This window comes from Homo sapiens, chromosome 6, assembly GCF_000001405.40.
Source record: "Homo sapiens chromosome 6, GRCh38.p14 Primary Assembly".
Lineage (NCBI taxonomy): Eukaryota > Metazoa > Chordata > Mammalia > Primates > Hominidae > Homo > Homo sapiens.
The window spans coordinates 107,329,554-107,345,782 of NC_000006.12; the positions used below are offsets into that span (position 1 = coordinate 107,329,554).

The 16,229-nt window shown below is 37.4% G+C and overlaps 1 protein-coding gene across 15 annotated transcripts in view; it reads right to left on the reverse strand.

The window, feature by feature from the left end:
• The window catches only part of PDSS2 (decaprenyl diphosphate synthase subunit 2), a 307,003-nt gene that overhangs the window by 176,992 nt on the left and 113,782 nt on the right, over positions 1-16,229 (reverse strand). For 10 of the 15 annotated variants that reach the window (XM_011535960.4, XM_047419098.1, XM_011535961.4 and 7 more), the window contains one exon: positions 4,645-4,779. The exons of 4 other annotated variants lie outside the window; for them this stretch is intronic. In XM_011535960.4, the coding sequence (XP_011534262.1) occupies positions 4,645-4,667 (23 nt within the window). In that variant the 5' untranslated portion in view covers positions 4,668-4,779. Of the gene's footprint in view, positions 1-4,582; positions 4,780-16,229 lie in introns of all 15 variants that reach the window. One more of the 15 variants, XM_047419100.1, reaches the window with a different exon arrangement.

Below are 16,229 nucleotides of genomic sequence, written 5' to 3' on the forward strand. Positions count from 1 at the left end.
CAGTTATATTGAGTTAGGGCCTATTCTAATGACCTCATTTTGACTTGATTAGCTCTGTAAAGATCCTTTCTCCTAATAAGGTCACATTGTGAGGTACTAGGGGTTAGGACTTCAACACATGAATTTTGGGAGGGTAAAATTCAATCCATAATACCTGCATACATAATGAAGCTAGTCTCTTTTCCATAAATTCATACAATCATGTAACAGTTATGTACTGAGTGCCTATTAATTACAATGTTGGTACTGTTCTGGGCCCTGCTAGGTACTTCTATACCCCACGTCTTTGTGAGGTATAGAAGCAGGGTGCAGTGGCGGGCGCCTGTAATCCCAGCTACTTGGGTAGCTCAGGCAGGAGAATTGCTTGAAACTGGGAGGCAGTGGCTTCAGTGAGCCGAGACTGCATCACTTCACTCCAGCCTAGGTGATAGAGCGAGACTCTGTCTCAAAAAAAAAAAAAAAAAGGAAAAAGGTAACATTTGCTGCTGTCAACAGATAAACCCTAAAATTTAAGTGGCTTAACAAATAGATTTTTCTTCTCATACATCTAGTCTGTATGGATGTTCCTGATGGGCAGGTGACTTTCCTTCAAGAGTGATTCAGGGACACAGGCAACTTTCATCTTGAATGGGTCACTTCCCAGATCATCTGCTTAAGGAGTATTACAGATGCAACATTTTTATGGCCAGGAAATAGTAAATATCACTTCTACTCCTACTCTATTGGCTAGATCTCAGTCACATGGCCAGCCACCTGCATGGGAAGCTGAGAAATGTAGTCTAGCCGGGTACTCAAGAAGAAAAGAAAGTGCGTTTGGCATACTTGCTTCAGTCTCTTCTACCAGTTAAGGTGCTGGGAAACTTCAGGAAATGAAAGTAGAGTGCAAATATGTTCAGTCTGTGGTCTGCTTTTAACTACTAGTTAGAAGAGAAGATTGAGTCAGTTCTTGATAAAACAACCGAGAAAGTGGAACCATCAGCCAAAATATTCACGTGAATTTCTGTAAACTTAATAATCATATCATGAGAAAAATCTATAGTTTTTAATATGCATTATATATTGTAATAAACTATCTTTTGTACACAAAATAAAACTATGCTATTACTAATAGAATGGGAAGTTGTAAACATTTTCTTGATTGTAGCTAGGGATAACTGTAAATTTAGTAATACTTGACTGGCTTTGCAACCAATTTTTTAAAAGTCAAGGTTAGTGGAATAAACCTAAAGTTCACAGTCTTGTTGGCAAAAGGCTATGGCGAATGTTTACAGTACATTTTTATAAATGTGGCTTTCTTGCCCGATTTTCAAAATGTAGTTATTACATTTTAGCCTAAATTCTGCCTCTCCTGGCTGTTATATGATTAGTTCACTAGACATCCACAGCACCAATTATATCCTTAGGCCAAACAAAAGAGATCACCTAACTCCCATTTGGTCCTTCAGGTAATTTACTCAGGTCCCGTTATCTGATATCAAAGTCAAGTTTTATGAGAGAAAAAATACCAACAAGGTAAATCCCAGTAGTTTGGAGGTGAATTAAAAAGCTCCCAAATTAGTACTTCCCTCAAATGTTAAATAATTCACTGTAGCATTATAGATACAAGACTCCAGCAAAAGTTACACTTGAACAATTAAGGAAGCAAGAGCTAAACAAATGACTTCAGGGGTAGAGAAACAAATTAATGGTTTCTCATAGCACTATACCAAATTACTTTTTCACATTAACAAGTGTGTAAAACACCCAAACACCCCCAATGACCTACTAGATGAAGTTTGATTATAGAAAATAGCCTGGGTTTACATGCCAGGATTATTCCCTAAATGTAACTGTGGATTCTATACACTTGAGTATAAAGCCCATTTATGTTATTTGGAAAGGTTTCATGTTCACAACGTACCCCTACTCTTTTCCAAAGTTCTTTTAGTCAAATTGCTTGGATTATAATGACCATCTGCCAACATGTTATGTGAAGGACCAAAAGCAATGAAATTGTTTCCTAGAGGCTAGACAAGAATTAGAAACACAAGGTTACATCACAGTGCACCATGTGCATACAGATTAATAGCTCCTGCTGAGTAGAAAGAGTATACACTTTGAGATAAAAATGGGATTTCAATCCCAACTCTATCACTTTCTAGCTAAAATATTTCAGATAAGTCAACCTGAGTATTAGCAATCTCTTCTGTAAAATAGGAATAACTTACTTATGTAACAAATATTTATTGAATATTTACTATGTATCAAGTAGTATTTTGCAAGGATTATTTTAGGATTAGAGATAAAAAAAATAGTAGGTGCTCATTATCTGTATGTGTGGTTATCCAAATATACAAGCAGATGACTAATAAGAAAGGGTCAAAGTCAGCAGACTGAAAATCAATGGAATTCCTAACCGAAAACAGAGATATATGGGATACAAGGCAATGTGAGGTCCATTTGCTTTCCAGGGACTAACAGGTAGTTAGTACTCACTCTAAATTTTTATATATTTTCTCTAGTTATCTCAACTAAACTTAGCCAAGAGTTTTCTACAAAATTTATAAGGTAAACTTTTTTTTTTTTTTTTGAGACAGGGTCTCATTCTGTTGCCCAGGTTGGAATGCAATGGCGCAATCTTAGCTCACTGCAACCTCTGACTCCAAGGCTCAAGCGATCCTTCCACCTCAGCCTCCTGAATAGCTGGGACTACAGGCACATGCCACCATGTCTGGCTAATTTTTTATATTTTTTGTAGCGACTGGGTTTCTCCATGTTGCCCAGGCTGGTCTTGAACTCCTGGACTCACATTATCCATCTGCCTCAGCCTCCCAAAGTGCTGGGATTATGGGCATCAGCCATCACACCTGGCCTGTAAGGTAAACTTTTGAGCTCTAACTCAAGCAGGTTTTGGGAAAGGATGTAGATGTACTAAAGATGTGCCAAAGAGTTTTCCATTTAAAAGTTTTTAAAGATATGCTTACAAGATGACTTTTTTTAACATACTAATTTAATGCTAGTCTGATCTATAACTGAAATACATATATATTTTGAAATAGATTAGAAAGGTAGAATGTAATCAAGAAAAAAAAAACCAACAATGAGGTTTGGAGGGAACATGAGAACTACAGTTAGAGCTTCAACTCTCCCCATTACCAGTTGTGTCACCAGAAAAAGCCTCAAAATTTTTGAATCTGTTTTCTTGAGTAAAATAAGCTTAACAACTCTTACTATGGCATTATTATAAGAACCAAATGGAATAGCTGTCATAAAAATGCTTAGTAACCTAAAAGCACTAAACAAATATGAACCATTTCAGAGTGAATAGGTGATCACAAGACATCCCTTATAGTGAAGGGTATTTGTATGGATGAATGGTAAAAGGTTTACAAAAAATTATATTGGCTGGAGGAATGGGCATTTGTAGTCACAACAGTAATCATTTCGCTTGCTTGCTAATGAGGAAGGATCATTGAATTTCTGGCTGGCAAGCAACAGTAATCCCTAAATATTATGGAACAGAAAACATTTATGGACAAGACCACTAGAAATAAAATTTAAAAAAAATAGATTTATTTTTAAAGTAAATCAACAAGGTCAATTAGCCATAAGTCAAAGTTCCTAGAAATGCTTCTTCTTGTGAGGAAAATTTCTTTATCACCCATATTGTTAGGCTGGTTTTAATTTCATATGCCAAAGTCTACCTGTTGATTGTTACATCTATACAGGCTTTTAATACAGTGCCAAGCATATTGCTAGAATTAAGTAAAATTATTGCTGACATACTGTTACTAAAAATATATCCAGTGATTTTTTTAAACAAAACTGAAAATTTTAAGTTTATTTTATATGCAGCAAAAAATGAGTAATACATACTTACAAATTTGTTTTTTAATCTAAATACATGAGATGTAAAAATTTTTTAATCCAATAACCAGTAAAAAAGTAGACTACAGCTCTTAAAATGACAGTAGCATCAATCTTTATACAATGAGGTATTATTTTATCTTATTTTATTTTGAGATAGAGTCTTGCTCTGTTACCCAGGCTGGAGGGCAGTGACACGATTAGGGCTTACTGCAGGCTTAACCTCCCTGGCCTCAAGCAATCCTCCTGCTTTAGTCTCCTGAGTAACAGGGACTACAGGCACATACCACCACAACTAGCTAATTTTTAAATTTTTTGTAGAGATGAGGGCTCACCATGTTGTCCAGGCTGGTCTCAAACTCTTGGTCTCAAGTGATCCACCAGGCTTGGCCTCCTAAAGTGCTAGAATTACAGGTGTGAGCCACTGTGCCCGGCCAACAAGGTGTCATTTTGAGTAGATTTAAAAATCATAGATCCTGAACTAAGTGGCACAGAGGTCTCTACAGAGACACAACAATACATAATAAGGGGAGGGAGAAGTGATGAACAGAAAATTTTAAATGCCCAAAGTAGAAAGGAAAGTATTTCACACAAATGTGTGAAGAAATTTACCAGAGTTATGTGTAGAGTTGGCCAAGACTATCACTTATTATGAACAATAAAAATCCATTTTTAACCTTATATTTTAATCTATCTTTGAATCAGAGAATGACAAAGAATGGTGATTTCCACTGACCTCTGTCCAGTAAAAGAAAACACGATGTAGAGAGCAATGTCAAAAGACTAAATTCTTCTTACCATGAGTAGATCCCACTGACCATGTCATAGTTCTGACATGAAGTGTTCACGCTGCTGGGCCCAGCTGCTTTAGAGATAAGGAGCACCACCAAGCCCCTCAACTGGAGGCTATTCCAGCTGTCATGTACAAGCCCCCTGCCAACAAGCAAAGAAGGAAGAGGATTAATATACCCTCACGAGATCATCAGATAACTTAGAAAACTGCTACAAAGATGCCCACACTTCTAAAACTGGACAATGAGACTTACTGAAAAGAAACAGGGTCAGGGAGGAAAATTAATGTGAGGATGCCATGAGTTCAGGAAACAACTAGAGAAATCTACGGCTGCGTTGTTGTTGTTGTTGTTGTTGTTGTTGTTTTTGAGACAGGGTTTTGCTCTGTCACCCAGGCTGAGTGCAGTGGCACAATCTCAACTCACTGCAGCCTCAACCTCCCGGTCCTAAGCGATCCTCCCACCTCAGTCTCCCTAGTAGCTGGAACTTTAGGTATGCACCACGATGCTCAGCTAATTAAAAAAAAAAAAAAAAAACGTAGAGTCAGAGTCTTGCTATGTTGCCCAGACTGGTCTTGAACTCCTGGACACAAGCAATCTTTCTGCCTTAGCCTCCCAAAGTGCTGGGATTACAGGCGTGACCCACCATGCCCAGCCCATGGCCAGTTTTAAAAGCGACAATCTCGCTGGTGGCAGTGGCTCAGGTCTGTAATCCCAGTGCTTTGGGGGGCCAAGGTGGTCAGATGAGCCTAGGAGCTTGAGACCATCCCAGACAAGATGGTGAAACCCCGTCCTTACAAAAAATAGAAAAATAAGCTGGGCATGGTGGCATGTGCCTGTAGTCTCAGCTACTCAGGAGGCTGACGACGGAGAATGATTTGAGCCCAGGGTTGGGGGGGTGCTGAGGCTGCAGTGAGCCATGATGGCGCCACTGCACTCCAGATGGGGAGACGGATTGAGACTCTGTTTCCAAAAAAAAAAAAAAAAAAAAAAAGTGACAATCTCACATTTGAGGCTTCCTCATTTGCTCTCTCCTCTTTCTGGGTCTCCCCGCTGTCTATACCCTATCTCACAATCTTAATCATTTGCTCTGGTAACAAGAAGAACCCATAGTTTTAAACCGGTTTGTGACAGTTGAAAGAAACTGACATATAAATCACATTGCTTGGATGAAGTGATACTATTTGGTGATGACGGTGGTAAACAGTAGTAAAAAATGATTTGTTTTCACAGGTAGAGAAGGAGCTCAGAGAATGAAAGGATTAAACCAAATTCAAAAGACGCAGAAATTTGATAAGTAAATGAAAGTGAATGCCATCAGCAAAAATGTTGCTTATTACTTACAAACATTATAATTCTAGGCAACAACAAGGCTTTAACTTAGAATGTGGCATATCTTTTGACATGAGGACTGAATTTTTATAATTTCTGCTATACCTGAGGCTAGAAATACTTCCCAGGAATACATTTTCTTTTTAAAGTATTACAAATGGTTGTCATTCAAGAACTAAATGGCATTGTTTTAAAAAATTAGAAAACTATGGGCAATATATTACAGTAAAGTCATATTGAGAACAATGCTCATGAGCACTAATCAAATAGATTACAGCATATATAAATAATATACAAATATAGCTCTCGAATGCAGTAAGAAAACAAAAATTAGTGTTATAATACTTGACTGAATTATCAAGGCTTCCTTGTTGAGTTTTTGAACAAAGAATCAATTTAAGTTAATTAAGGTAACATAGCCAAAAATAATGAATTAGTCCATTACTTAAGAAAAATCTTGGTTGGGTATGGTGGCTCATGCCCGGGGTGGGGGGGGTGGGGGGTGGGGCATCACCTGAGGTCAGGGGTTCGAGACCAGCCCGGCCAACATGGCGAAACTCCGTCTCTACTAAAAATACAAAAATTACCCAGGCGTGGTGGCAGGTACCTGTAATCTCAGCTACTCAGGGGGCTGAGGCAGGAGAATCGCTTGAATCCAGGAGGTAGAGGTTGCAGTGAATTGAGATCGAGCCACTGCACTCCCAGCTTGGGTGACAGAGCGAGATTCCGTCTCAGAAAAAAAAAAAAAAAAAAAGGAAAATCTTTGCCCCTCCAGTCTCCAAACAGAAATTTTTAAAAGGGGCCCCTTTTACCTTTCATTAGTTTCAAAATAAGACAAATCATTAGGTTCTCTGCAAAGTAACAGCTATAGCTTTCTCTGCTTATATTCTGTCCTTAACCAAGTAGGCAATCTTCATCAAGATAAAAGGGTTTAAACTGATTTTTAAAAAGAAATTCTAATTTCCTAGGAAAAGGAAGTTAAAGTAATACAGTTACATCACAACAGAAACAAATAATCATCAGAAATGTCCCAAACTCTTTACTGTCATGTAACAATCTGCTTAAATCCTATGAACCTGAATTTTACGGCGGTTAAGAGGCATCCTATTACAGAACACAAAAATGTTAAAAGAAGAGCTTTTTAAATTTTTTTTTGCTTTGAATTACAACTTTTAACTTAGGCTACTAGATTCTTATTTATGTATTACCTATAGTGAATCTTTATTCTTCCTTTCTTTTATAATAAAGAGAAGGTCTGAATTGGCTTTCAATTCTAGAAAAGGAAAAGAAAAAGAGGTGTGTGGTGTGTGTGTGTGTGTGTGTGTGTGTGTGTGTGTGTGTGTGTGTGTGTGTGTGTGTTCGGGGCTGGGCCTGGTCAGGGATTAAGGATATGATTCAGCAAGAACTCTAAGAGGTGAACCTTGAGACAAGTCTGACCAAATCACACAGATTTAACAGCCCTGACAACAGTTTTAACAATATCTTCAAACTTCTCAGAAATAGGACCTTTCACATACCACACACACACACACACACACACACACACACACACACAAATAATAATAATAGCAGCAGCAAACACTTATATTGTGGTTTATACATTGCTTTCTATATGTCAGAAACTGTTCTACATGTTTTACTATATATTAACTAAATTAATTCACAATGCTAAGAGGAGGGTACTACAATTATCCTGATTTTACAGATGGGGAATGAGGCACAGAGAGAAATCAAGTAACTTGTCTAAGGTACCATACCTGGTAGGTGGCAGAACCATGACAGAGCCAGGATTTGATCCCAGGCCAACAGGCTCTAGAGTCTACATACACTTTTAAACATTATGCTATGTAGTGATGCTCCATCTGCTTCCTTTGTACAAAACCATTTGCTACATCAAATTAGAACAGTTGGCTTTAGAACCAGACAAGCCTAGGTCTGAAAAAGTCTTCTGTTATTTACTAGCTGTGAGTGTGACTCTAAGGCTATGACCTCTTGTATAAAATGAGGGTAACAATGTCTACTTTTCATAGTCATTGTATGGAAGAGACAACATAGGTCAAAGTACATAACACTGTGGAAGCACATGGTTGGTGATCAAGTAATCAGTAAATTACATTTTCTTTCCTTGTTACTTTTTTGTGATCTTATTTTTTTCTCAACTCTTAACATTTTCTTTCTTCTACTCTCTTTCTCCTTGTAACTCTCAAAAAGTCTTCCCCACTCTACTAGCATATATAATCTCCTATGTTATTTAGTTTTCTACCTCCTCAAATAACAAAAGTTAAGGAATTCTTCCCACCCCCTAATCATTATTATCATTATCTCAATGATAATCATGAAAACACCCCTTTCAGAATGCATTACTGAAAAGGTCAGGAAAAGAAGCTGTAATGAACTGGGTGACAAAAATTAAGAGAGCATTCAGAAAAGCACATCTTCTGGCCATTAATTTTCACATAAGTCAGTGGTTAACAATCTGGAGGATAGACTAACAGCTTGAGTAAATTAAATAACTGTTTCCAAAACACCATTTCTTTAAATTCACTTCGTTAACACTCTTAAAAAAACAGTACTGAAATAAGTGGATAATGCCTACAGCTCAAAATTTAGCTCACAACCAAAAGAGAATATGAAATTTTGCTCCAGAGCAAATAAAAAACAAACAAACAAACAAAAAACATGGGATTCTAAACTTACAGAGACAATATGTTTCATGTAGCACAGGTCATATTTCATCTGGAACACTCTAATTTTTTCTCAGTGCTTCTCTTAAGGGACACTGACAAGCTGTGGCATAACCAGAAAATGGTGAAATCACATACCACCACATCTAGGAAGGCTAGCTTAGAAAATGGTAAGGTTGGTGTTCTCAAACGTATTCAGCCAAGAGTGTACTGAATGCTCACTGCATGCCAGGCTTGGTGCTAAACAGACAGTGGAGAATATGATGAGGAGCACTGTTAAGATGTGGCCTCCCTTCTTGTGTATAGTAGTCTGGATTTAAAAATCACAATAAAATGTGGCAGGAATTGTTTCAGGGGATGAATAAGGGTTGTGGCAGCATGTAGAAGAAGCAACTAACACAATTCAGGGGATGTCAAAGAGACTTCCGTGAGATCTAAAGGATGAGTGAGAGGGAAGTAGCCAGGGGATCTGGGGCAGGGACGAAAAAGTGTTCTGAAGAGAGAAACAGTATGTGTGGAGGTCCGAAGGAAAGAGAGGAGGACACAGTTGTTTCTAGAGCCAGTGTGGCAGGAACACAGTACGTAAAGGAAGAACTGAGAGAAATAAATCTGGAGGGGCACAGGAGAGTTGTCTGTTCTTTTAAAAGGGTTCCCTATGTAGAGGAGATAGATCTAGTAAGTATTAATTTTTTTTTTCTTTTAGAGACAGGGTCTTGCTATATTGACCAGGCTACTTTTGAACTCTTGGCCTCAAGTGATCTTCTGGCCTGGCATCCCTAAGTGCTGGGATTACAGGGGCGAACCACTGAGCCAGGCCGTAAGTATTACTTTAGAGACTGATGCTAATGGACACAAACTATAGCAGGCCAATTCTGGCTCAAAGAAATAAAAAACAGAGCAACCTCTGGTAATGCTGAGCTGCTTGTTACTAGAGATGTTTAAGAAGCTGCACGGACTCTGACATAACACATTAGACAGAAGCCTGGAATATGTGACATCTGAGGTTGTTTTCTTACTCTGTGATTCTATATGGCCTCACTTTACTACATTTAATTATCTAATACTCCACAATATATACAAAAATTGAAAAAGCCTTGTCATTAAAGTGTCATAAATGAAAGCAGTATTTAGTATTTTATAATCTTTATCATTAAAGTTCTACAGAATTGGGTTTTCTTAGCTAATGAACAAAAACATCATTTGTTCATTCATTCATTCAATTAATAAGACTGGACGCCTTCTATACATCAAGCATTGTGCTAGGCATGGATGCAATGGTGAGCAAAACCAGGCATGGAGCTTGCAGAGCTTATGGTCTAATGGAAGAGACTGGTAATAAAAAACGAATCATGAGGACGTGTAAAACTACACTGGTAATAGATGCTACAAGGGAAAAAGAGCAAGAGTGCCATGAGAGCTTGGAATACAGAAAGTAACTTTGCAGGAAAGTCAGTCTTCCTTGAGGAAGTGATGACTGAGTTGATATCCAAAGGAAAAAAAGGGGGAGTGGGAAGGAAACAGGTAAGGGGGGTATATTTGCAGCACAAGGAGGGGCATATGCCAGGCTGAGAGCACTGTATGAAGTGAAACTGGTGGCAGACAGGAACTACACCACCCAGGATGAACAGACCATAAGAGGTTTGCTCTTTATCCAAAGAGCAATTCAAAGGTGCTGTGGTATTTTATTAAGCAGCCAGTGACATAATCAGATATTTCAGAAAACAAAACAAAACAAAATCATTTATCATCAGTGTAGAAAATGACTTGTGTAGACAAGAGAGGAGGAAACCAAGGGAGTATGAGGAACCCAATTAGGAAACTTTTGTAATAGTCAATAAAAAAAAAAAAAAGAGGGTAGCTTGATGGACAAACTAGAGATGTACCAAACCTAAAATAATGTTGATTCAACTCAAAAAGATGTTGCATACTACATAGTCCTGGAAAATTAGCTAATATAGGCATATCACTAATTTTAAATAATATTATTCTAAATATGTTTGTAAGTTGAATTTTAGGTGGGGAGATCTTGGCCTCCTTTAAAGTTCTTCTCTAGATCTATAATAGATAAAGAGTAAACACTAATAACACTAATATTCTAAAAGCTAAACAATTTCATGGGAATAAGGATTGAGTAGGTAAAACTTTGGGCAAGTCAGCTCTGTCTTCTCCATTGTACTTTAGATGGCTGACTGCAGTTCTCACTGCATCATATCCTTCCACAGCTACTAACAAATTTACATTCCTTCATCCAATCCTGTATTAGATCCTCAAACCACCACTGTGGTACTTTTCTATTTATCCTCTTAAATTCCACTTCAACACGTATGAAGGGTATACAAAGAAATACGAGCTGTAAGAAAAGAGCTATAATAGTAGATTCAAAGTATGGTTAAATTGAATAATACAAGGAACAGATAACAAAGAAAAGTTACAAGCAGCTATCAGTGCACAACTAGTTGCTAGAGGTGTCCCTCACAGTAGAGGCAGCATTCAGATTGAGCCTGAAAGATGGTCAAATTTCCCTGAGTAGGGAACAGAAGTAGGAGACGGGACTGGAATGGAGTCATGGGAATAGAAAGAAGGGTATTTTAGGAGAAAGAAATAGATAAGCAGTGACAAGAAGGTGGAAGAACACAGAACCAGTTCAGGAGCTGTGGGGCTACCCATTTGGGCAATGTGTGAAGGTAAAACAAGTCCAGGAAAACAGACAACCTAAAGAGTGAAGGGCCTTGAAAGTCAGGTTTAGAGTCTGGACTTAATTCTGCAGGAAATCTGGAGGCATAAGTGGTTTGTCTGCAAGGGAGAAATGTAATTAGAGCTAAAGACTAAAACTGTTACTCTGAGCCTAATCCTGTTACTCTGGCAGGTGCTATGTTGTGTACGGTGGAAAGGAGAAGGAAGATCAGTTAGGAGGAGCCTCTTCTAGTAGTCCAGATGGGAGATAATGAGGGCCTAAATGAGGGTAGTGGCAATAGGGATGGGGAAGAAAAGCTGAATGATGGCAGTAGCATGGAGGTGGAAAAGGCTAGTGTGGCCAACTGGAGGGATGAAGGAGACATTGGGGAGGGATCAGAAAGCAAAGGAATGTAAGATTCCAACCTGTTTGCTGGAGGTGATAATGCTACCGTTAGTAGAGATTGGAAAGAAGGAGGAGAACTAATGAGGAATGAATGAGTTCAGTTTTGGACATGTTAACTTTGAATGCAAGAAGGACTTCCAGATGGTGATGCCAAGCAGGCAGCTGGAAATGCTGTGCCTATAGAGTTGGGAAGCATCTTCATAGAAGCGATGGCTGAAGCTGTAGGAACTGACAGATGAGCTTTTAGGTGAGAGAGAAAAGAAAAGAAGAGAAGGGAAGGGAATCTTGGAGAATTCCTACACTTAAAGGAATGAGATGAGTAACCAACATGAAGAAATATGTTCTAGCTACAAACAAATAAAAGGCCTCCACAGACATGGATAATGAAGTATGTATACACACGCACAATGGAGGCAGAGAACTACAACAGTACAATGCACAGAAACCAGGGCCAGTAGTTGTAAGCTTCTTCCATGGGCTTTCATGGACTTACTATAAACCTCTAGTTTGGCACTTAACACACTGAGTAATAAAAATGGTAACAATATAACAACAACTATAATATACTATAATGCCAGGCATCTGCTGTTTTACATGCATATGCTCTAATTCTCACAAAAACCATGCAAGGTAACTAGTAATATCCCTTTACAAATGAGGAAAATTAGCATGGAGGCTCAAAAAAGTTCAATAATTACTACTCACAATAGTCAATTAGTAACAGAGGTGCCAAAATTTAAACATAATTGGACTCCAATGCCCGGGCTTGCTTATGCTTTGAGGCCTTGGTATTTAATTATTTGTTCACAGGACTCCCTGGCAAGGTTGTGAGACCCTTGAAGGTACTCAGTCCTCTTTGGATGCCCTGCACCCAGCAGAGCAACTGACACAGAATAGTTCTAAAAAAAAAAAAAAAATTAAAGATGAGAGAATGAATAGCTTCAAGGAGTAGGCCAGCCAACTCTCCATCTTACACATCTCCCCAAAACAGACCTACTACTATTCTCAACTTTCCTCATTTCTCTTCCTGTTATCAATTTGCCACATCCAACCATTCAGCTCTGACTGGTTCCTCTTCCTCTTGAGTTCCTTTTCCTAAATTGTAGTAAGTTCTTTGAAAGTGACAGGCACACACAAGAAAAGCCCCAACACATTCTAAAAAACATGCTGAGATTTGTTATTTTGACGTTGTATTTTAAAAATTACTGTATATAAAATGTATGCCGTATCAAAGGGTCTATTTAAGTTTTAGAGAAAACTCAACATATTAATTATATATTTAATACAAATATTTATGTGTTTTGTTTCTTCATTTAGGAGAACTGACTGAATTGACTGCTGCATCAGTGCTTGGGAAAGAAAGCTGCCCTCACTCTGAAAAGAAGATAAGTGTACTTCCAGACAGAGAGTTGAGGTGGAAAGACAGAATTGGGGCATAAAAGAAAAATTTTGAGATTTATGAATAAGAGTTCAAAATTCTAAATTCTATCAGCAATCCAAATTACAATCTTTTGATAAATTTATAATCAAATATTAAGGAAACAACTTCACCACCACCAAGGGACCATCATCCTTGAGTAAGCTCAAAATACCCCAAAGTAAAACTGAGTGGGAAAGAATCACCTTGAGGGCAAGGAACCCCTTTCAATGTTAAAACCTAGAGATATAGAGTGAGTGGTACGATTTTATTTTTATTTTTTTAATTTATTTCTTTTTTAATGGAGATGGCAATGTTGCCCAGGCTGGTCTCAAACTCCTGGGCTTAAGTGATCCTCTCGCCTTGGCCTTCCAAAGTGCTGGGAAAGTGAGCCACCACACCAGGTCTTACTATTTTATTACCCCACTTTCCATAAATCCAGTTCCAGTAAGTCTATCCAAAAAATGTAAGCACAAAAGATGGATGTCAAATTCTAACATACATGAAGTGGGTTGATTGGTAAGATTCCTATTAATGCTTATGACTGTGACCCCTAGTTAAATTTTTTTTTTCATTTAGATACAGACAACTGAAACAAAAGAATTGACTATAATGTGCACAGTTTCTGCCAAAGAACTACAGGAATACTCTAATCTTTTCTACTCCTTTTTAAAATGCTGACTGCAACCTGCTAAATTGATTTGTGACCCACCAACAAGGTGCAACTGTAGTTTTTTTGAAAAACAGTGTTTTAAGTTACAGTATATGATGTATTAGTTAAAAGAACTGAAAACATAATGTAAAATTAAACAGGAATAGAATCATCACTTTTTAAAAGCAGAAAATCTGTCCACACACTAGCACAAATTTAGTGTTGCAACAAAACATTAACGTTTACTTAATGACATGGGAAAATACTAAAAATGTTAAATAAAAGAATACAAAATTGTATACATCATATGATCTCAATTATGCTTCAAAATATGCATACATATATACATATAAATGAGGCCAAGGACAAAAACTAGAAATAAATATGTCAAAAGGTTAACATTTTAAACCTGGTGTCATTGTATAGGTGTTCAATACACAAAGTATTCTTGCATTTTTCTGTGTGCTTGAAATAGTGTTTAAAAATGAAAAGAAAAACAGGATAAGAAAAAAATACTACCAAACGGTAACAAGTGTTATCCAACAAATTTCTTGATTAAGGGTGACCTATTTCTTAAGTTGCACACAAGAGCACAGATATCTTTTTAAGACTGGAGAAAAAAACACTGTATTTTAAAAACAACAGAATTCTAAGAAGACAAATGACTTAGTATATTATAGTTGTGTTTCTAACTTGAAGAAAAAAAATTAAGTGACATTTAATGAACTCCAGAGCCCTATGGTATAGGGACCCTTTTGGGTCCTACTACTTCACTTTTAATTTCTCTGAGATTTAGACACAGGACCAAAGTTTAAATGGTATCAATGAAATGATGTTAAAAACATAAATATAATTAGCAATTTGATGACAGCAATATTACTCAGTTATAAAAGAAAAAAACACTCCATGAAAATTATTTTTTTAAAGAATTGTAATTTTAGAGAGACTAAAAATAGTCTGCATGTCACAGATTTTTATATAAAATTAGCAGAAGAACTGGAGGTTAATTTCCATGGAAAAAATGACCCAAAATGTATTATTACTGCCATATCTATTCTAAGACTAAACTGTCCCAGACTTGAAACAACTTTAGGGCCTGAGGTGACCAGCCTTTAGAATACAGGAGCTGTGGCAGTCATTGATATGGCTCGAGGGCCACACACACATCCCACCTGCATTAAATCCTCGAGGGACAGCAGGGCCAAGAACTGCCTCACCAAAGCCCTCCCAAAGCTTCAATTAGGTTTGATGAGCATGTGGCAGAAGACAGGTGCCTGGAAGGAAAGGAAGGAAGAGAGAAGAGAAAGTAGAATGGGGGTAGGGTGCAGGGGTTGTTGAGCAGGGACTAAATCAAGCCAGGAACTTTTCAGAAATGGTTACTGACCACTAGTTGTATACTGAAATATAACTGAAATTAAAAAGAAGTATAAAATGTCGTGATCAATCATGTTTGCAGCAAGATGTGGCTAGTCACCCTGGAATTAAATATACCACTGGAAAAACAACAACAAAGATTTCCCCACTGAAATGGTAACTAAAGATTTAAAAATACTAATGGAAAATAGGGCCATTTAAAAAGTAATATTTAGTCACACTGAAAACTCTCAAAATAATCTCATACAATAATTTTTACATCTAAGCCCCTTGGGTTCACATTTTAAAAATCAATTTAGTGTTGAAGCAAGGGGGTAGAAAAATTGAGTGTAGGAATACAGGCATCATTACACTACACAACACACAAGACTCACACCACCACTCAAGCAATGACACTGGCTAAGAGCTAATGTGCTGTGAATTACACCTCCCACTACCACAGCCCGTCTGTGCAGAGAATAAATCAACCGAATGTGAATGAGTATTCCCTTAGTACTCAGTGCTTTCCTCAACTTGCAGTTCCAGTTTCAATAGAATCTGCCATTCAAATGCAAGAGAACTACTCACTTTAATAGTCTATAATTTTTTATGGTTTTACTCATCTAGTATGTAGGCCTGTTTTTACCAAAAAGAATGTTTCAATGTAAGTAATCAATATTTAGTGTATGGAGTATCAGTCCTATTAGCTAATAATGGAATCACATCAATTGTGCAAAAGTTAGAAGATTTGTACTTGAACAAGTGGAAAGAGATAAAGGTAGATGATTGTTCAACTGACAATTACTCATAACATATTATGAAGAGGCTAAAGCCAAATGTAAAAAATACAACAGCAGATGGATGAAGCCAGTAAAAATCAGGAAGTTGGGGGAAATGATGAAATACTTTATAGAGTAACAGATAATACCTCAAGGGCAAATTAGGGGGGAGGGGGAAGAGCAAAGTGAAATACATCATAGATTTTTAGTAGGAAAAATATGTTTAAAAATGAATGGAAAAACATTCAAAATGTAAAACTATATTATTGCAACATGATGGTTCAGAAGTTCAAAAA